Below are 6007 nucleotides of genomic sequence, written 5' to 3'. Positions count from 1 at the left end.
CATGGTGGCTCACGCCCAGCACTTTGGGAGGCCGAGGCAGGTGGATCACCTGAGGTCAGGAGTTGGAGACCAGCCTGGCCAACATGGTGAAACCCTGTCTCTACTAAAAATACAAAATTTAGCCAGCCATGGTGGCAGGTGCCTGCAATCCCAGCTACTTGGGAGGCTGACCCAGGATAATCACTTGAACCCGGGAGGCAGAGGTTGCAGTGAGCCGAGATTGCGCCATTGCACTCCAGCCTGGGTGATGGAGCGAGGCTCCATCTCAAAAAAAAAAAAAAAAAAAAAAAAAAAAAAAGTGTCTTAATCAGTGTGGGCTGCTGTAACAAATATAGAGAGGGTGGCTTCAACAGGAAACAGTTCTCACGGTCCTGGAGGCTGGAAGTCTGAGATAGGGGTGTTGGTAGATCCAGTGTCAGGAGTGCCGCTTCCTGGCTCGTTGACAGCCACCTTCTCCCTTCCTCCCGGCATGGCCCAGAGCAAGATCATCTCATGTTGTGTCCCTTTCTATAAGGGCACAAATCCCATTAATAAGGGCTCCACCCACATCACCTGATGACCTCCCAGAGGTCCTACCTCCAAATACCATCACTCAGCTTCAGCACAGGAGTTTGGGGAAGACACAAACATTCAACCCCTACTGTTCCAACCCCTGCTTCACAGATGAGAAAACTGAGGGAGTAGGTAAGAAGACGAGGGGCAAACATATAGCATGGGCCAGGTGAAGTGGTTCATGCCTGTAATCCTAGCACTTTGGGAGGGAAGCAAGGCAGGAGGATCACTTGGGCCCAAGAGTTTGAAATCAGCCTGGGCAACATACTGAGACCATCTCTACATAAAATTAAAACTTAGCCAGGCATGGTGGCACTCGCCTGTAGTTCCAGCTACTTGAGAGGCTGAGGCGGGAGGATCACTTGAGCCTGGGAAGTCCAGGCTGCAGTAAGCTGTGATTGAGCCACTGCACTCCAGCCTGGGTGACGAAGCAAGACCCTGTCTCAAAACACACAGGCTGAGCACAGTGGCTCACACCTGTAATTCCCAGCACTTTGGGAGGCTGAGGCAGGCGGATCACCTGAGGTTAGGAGTTTGAGACCAGCCTAGCCAACATGGTCAAACCCCGTCTCTACTAAAAAAAATACAAAAATTAGCCAGGCATGGTGGCGTACGCCTGTAATCCCAGCTACTTGGGAGGCTGAGGCAGGAGAATTGCTTGAACCCGGGGGGTGGAGGTTGCAGTGAGCCAAGATCACACTGCTGCACTCCAGCCTGGGCGACAGAGCAAGAATCCATCTCAAAAAAAAAAAAAAAAAAAAAAAAAGCTAGGGGTACAGAGGTTAAAAAAAAAAATCAGCAAAAATCCAGCCTCACGGAATTGACATCCTAGTCAGGGAAACAAAGTCAAAAGTATAGCATAGTAGGAAAAAAACCGGAAACAAATCCCAGCACTTTGGGAGGCTTAGGTGGGAGGATCACTTGAGCCCAGGAGTTCAAGACCAACCTGGGCAATACAGGGAGATCCCATCTCAAAAAAAAGAAAAAAGAAAACTGGAAACAAATTAAGTCTTCATCAACTGGTGAGTGGATAGAAAATGTAGTATGTGGGCCGGGTGCAGTGGCTCATGCCTGTAATCCCAGCACTTTGGGAGGCCGAGGCAGGCAGATCACGAGGTCAGGAAATCGAGACCATCCTGGCCAACTTAGTGAAACCCCATCTCTACTAAAAATACAAAAAAATTAGCTGGGCATGGTGGCAGGCGCCTGTAATCCCAGCTACTCGGGAGGCTGAGACAGGAGAATGGCGTGAACCCGGGAGGTGGAGCTTGCAGTGAGCCGAGATCGCACCACGGCACTCCAGCCTGGGCGACAGAGCGAGACTCTGTCTCAAAATAAATAAATAAATAAATAAATAAATAAATAAATAATAAAATAAAAAAGACCTGAAGACAGGCCTGGTGCAGTGGCTCATGCCTGTAATCTCAGCACTTTGGGAGGCCGAGGCAGGCGGTCAAGAGTTCGAGACCAGCCTGGCCAACATGGTGAAACCCCCTCTCTACTAAAAATACAAAAATTAGCTGGGCATGGTGGTGGGTGCCTATAATCCCAGCTACTCGGGAAGCTGAGGCAGGACAATCATTTGAACCCGGGAGGCGGAGGTTGCAGTGAGCCAAGATTGTGCCATTGCACTCCAGCCTGGGCAACAGGGCGAGACTCAAAAAAAAAAAAAAAAAAAAAGACCTGAAGACAAGCAGGCAAGCGATGCAAGCATATAGAGGAAGAGGGAAGAGCAAATGCAAAGGCCCCTGAGGCAGGAATGTGCCTGTGTCTGAGGAGCTGCGCTGAGGTCAGAGTGGCAGAGAGAGCAGAAGGAGAGAGGCAGATGAGGGAGAGGGGAGGAGAGGCGGGTGGCGGGTGTGGACTTGTAAATCAAAGACCTTTGCTCTTTACCCTGAGTGTGACTGGGAGGTGAGCAATGATTGTGGCTTTGCCTGCAACTGGACGCAGGATATGAGAGAAAGTGTCCGTCTCTCGAGGCAGAGTGCGCATTCCATGAGGGTGAGAACTCATCTGCTTTGTGCACCACCCAGAATGGTGTGACTCAGAGGTGCTGCTCGCCATGCCTTAGTGAACAGGTGGCATCGCCTGCTGCCAGGTACTGTGCTAAGGGTGAGTCACCACCGGCACAGAGGGGCTGCAAGTTTGGGTCCTGGAGGTCAGTCGCTCTACCGCTTACTGCTTTGTGGACAAATCAGCTAGCCACTCTGGACTACTGCTTCCTCGTCTGTAAAAAGGAAAACTTATCTCATCTAGGAAATGGTTTTGCACAGAACCTGCCTGGCACAAGTTAAACTGATGCTCAATCAATGTTAGTTTTTGTTTTCTTCTTCTATTTTTTTTTTTTTTTTTTTTGAGACGGAGTCTTGCTCTGTCACCGGGCTAGAGTGCAGTGGCCTGATCTCGGCTCACTGCAATGCAACCTCCAACTCCCTGGTTCAAGCGATTCTCCTGCCTCAGCCTCCCGAGTAGCTGAGATTACAGGCACACGCCACCACACCCAGCTAATTTTTTGTATTTTTAGTAGAGACGGGGTTTCACTGTGTTAGCCAGGATGGTCTCGATGTCCTGACCTCGTGATCTGCCCACCCTGGCCTCCCAAAGTCCTGGGATTACAGGCATGAGCCACCGCACCCAGTAACTTTTTTTTTTTTTTTTTTTTGAGGCAGGGTCTTGCTCTGTCACCCAGGCTGGAGTGCAGTGGTATGATCATAGCTCACTGTAGCCTCAACCTCCTGGGCTCAAGGGATCCTCCTACCTCAGCCTCCTGAGTAGCTGGGACTACAGCCATGCACCACTATGCTTGGCTCATACAAAAAATTTTTTGGGGGCTGGGCGCAGTGGCTCACACTTGTAATCCCAGCACTTTGGGAGGCTGAGGCGGGTGGATCACCTGAGGTCAGGAGTTTGAGACCAGCCTGACCAACATGATGAAACCCCGTCTCTACTAAAAATACAAACATTAGCCAGGCCGTAGTGGTGGGCGCCTGTAATCCAGTTACTTGGCGCCTGTAATCCAGTTACTTGGGAGGTTGAGGCAGGAGAATCGCTTGAGCCTGGGAGGTGGAGGTTGTAGTGAGCCAAGATTGCGCCACTGCACTCCAGTCTGGGCGACAGGGTGAGACCCCATCTCAAAAAATATATATATATTTTTTGAGATGGGGTCTCACTATGTTGCCTAGGCTGGTCTTGAATTCTTGGGCTCAACTGATCCTCCTTGGCCTCCCAAAATGCTGGGGTTACAGGCATGAGCCACTGCACCCAGCCTGCCCTTTCCTGTTTATTCCCTGATGATCTCTGCCTAAAATGCCTTGAGGGTATAAACAGTGCCTTCTCCCCTGTAGGAAAAAGGGACCTGTGCTCCCAGCTGGCAGCAGTATTGATGTCATCCACTGCTAGGTCAGCTTACCCCTTCTCTAACATTTCACCAGCAGCCATCCTTCCGAGGGACACTCTAACCCTGAAAGCTTTTACTTAATCTCTGCAATTTAGGAAGATTTCTGGATGTCAATTTAACTGCGTTGGGAAGGCAAGACGGTGTGGGACCAAGAAGGGCACTGTCTAGCCCTCCCGGCAGGTCTCACACTCCTGCATGCCCAAGGGCTGATGGGTGGACTGGAAAAGCGGCTGCAGCAAGGCTGGTTTGGTTTCTTTCCTGAAGCTCACAGGAATATAGTGCCTTGGTTCTGTAAACACCATAATCCCTGTTCCTGAATGTTTTCTTTGAAATCAACCACATCTTGGGAGACAGATGACCTTAAGCACACAGTATGCAGGGACCCAGTTTCCTTTCCCAGAAGACGAAAGCTCTGGACTGGAACCTCTGACCACAGTCAGTCTTGCTCTGGTCCTTGATGTTCTGGGATCCTGATCGTCAGGAAATCTCGACGGACCGTCCGTGGGAAGTGCCAAGGGGCTGACAACCCAGCTGGAAAGGCCCAGGCTTGGCCTCCACCCAGCTGACTGCTGGGTCTGGGATTTGATATGATTCCACTTAACAGGCTAGTATGTGAGCCTCTTACTGTTTCAAAAATGCTGGGAGAAGTCTCGAGACTCCAGGGTCAGAGACAAAGGCTTTCCTGCTCGCACGAAGCAGCACAGACGCCACCATGTGTGGGATTCCCCTGGGCTGTAGAGGCAGAGCCGGGGACCCAGATGGACACCTGCACAGGGAGTGGGTTGTTACGAAAGAGGCATGCTAAGCTTGGGGACCTGCCTGGCTATACGCAGCCTGCCCTCACCCCTCAACGTGCTTGCTGCAAACACAACCGTAAGAAATGACCAAGGGAGGCCAGGCGTGGTGGCTCACGCCTGTAATCCCAGCACTTTGGGAGGCCGAGGCAGGTCAATCACTTGAGGTCAGGAGTTTGAGACCAGTTTGGCCAACGTGGCGAAACCCCATCTCTACTAAAAATACAAAAATTAGCCGAGCCTGGTGGTGTGTCCCTTATAATCCCAGCTACTTAGGAGGCTGAGGCAAGAGAATCACTTGAACCTGGGAGGCAGAGGTTGCAGTGAGCTCAGATTGTGCCACTGTAGTCCAGCCTAGGTGACACAGTGAAACTCTGTCTCGAAAGAAAGAAAGAAAAAAAAAATAAAACCAAGGGAGAGAGCTATCAGGGTCATGCATTCCTGGTACATTCAGCAAGACCTGTAGGAATGAGAGACTCCCCTCTACCACCTTAGCTGCTGATAAATTGAATGAATGTGTCATTCTGCTTCCACTCTGATGAATCTGACCAACAGAGGCTGGGGCCAAATGTGTTGTTTCATACAGCATCTCATTAAGCATCTATGATCAACTGGACTCCAATCTGCAGCATTAACCTCAACCATGCCGCCAGGTTCCAGGGGCGAGGGGACCACCAGGTCTTACTTCAGACATCCCAGACACAGTCTCCTATTCACTAGGACAGGGGTCCCCAAACCCCCAGGCCACAGACCAGTACCGGTCCCCAGCCTGTTAGGAACCCAGATGCACAGGAGGCGAGTGACCATCACTGCCTGAGCTCCGCCTCCTGTCAGATCAGCAGCAGCATCAGATTCTCATAGGAGTGCAAACCCTATAGTGAACTGTGCATGCGAAGGATCTAGGTTGTATGCTCCTTATGAGAATCTTTTTTTTTTTTTGAGACACAGTCTCACTCTGTTGCCCAGGCTGGAGTACAGTGGTATGATCTCTGCTTACTGCAACCTCCGCCTCCTGGGTTCAAGTGATTCTCATGCCTCAGCCTCCCGAGTAGCTGGGATTACAGGTGTGCATCACCACACCCAACTAATTTTTGTATTTTTGGTAGAGACAGGGTTTCGCCATGTTGGCCGGGCTGGTCTCCAACTCCTGACCTCAAGTGATCCACCCACCTCAGCCTCCCAAAGTGCTGGGATTACAGGTGTGAGCCAATGCACCCAGCTTCCTTATGAGAATCTAATGCCTGATGATCTGAGGTAGAAGTTT

At 50.8% G+C, this 6007-nt stretch overlaps 3 annotated features.

Annotated features, from left to right (window-relative positions):
* Window positions 1549-1796: a silencer, noted in NCBI's record as "fragment chr19:38792217-38792464 (GRCh37/hg19 assembly coordinates)". NCBI's record gives its function as "represses an EF-1alpha promoter that drives an FKBP-Casp9 reporter gene in an ReSE screen in HepG2 liver carcinoma cells {active_cell/tissue: HepG2}" and the evidence as "EXISTENCE:reporter gene assay evidence [ECO:0000049][PMID:32094911]".
* Window positions 2161-2853: an enhancer, noted in NCBI's record as "H3K27ac-H3K4me1 hESC enhancer chr19:38791160-38791852 (GRCh37/hg19 assembly coordinates)". NCBI's record gives its function as "activates a minimal SCP1, AML or CMV promoter by ChIP-STARR-seq in primed H9 embryonic stem cells {active_cell/tissue: H9 hESC(primed)}" and the evidence as "EXISTENCE:reporter gene assay evidence [ECO:0000049][PMID:30033119]".
* Window positions 4540-5173: an enhancer, noted in NCBI's record as "H3K27ac-H3K4me1 hESC enhancer chr19:38788840-38789473 (GRCh37/hg19 assembly coordinates)". NCBI's record gives its function as "activates a minimal SCP1, AML or CMV promoter by ChIP-STARR-seq in primed H9 embryonic stem cells {active_cell/tissue: H9 hESC(primed)}" and the evidence as "EXISTENCE:reporter gene assay evidence [ECO:0000049][PMID:30033119]".

The sequence above is a fragment of the Homo sapiens genome, chromosome 19 (genome assembly GCF_000001405.40).
Source record: "Homo sapiens chromosome 19, GRCh38.p14 Primary Assembly".
Classification (NCBI taxonomy): domain Eukaryota; kingdom Metazoa; phylum Chordata; class Mammalia; order Primates; family Hominidae; genus Homo; species Homo sapiens.
The sequence above is the reverse complement of the archived record's forward strand: the minus strand, read 5'-3'. Positions and strand labels throughout refer to the sequence as shown.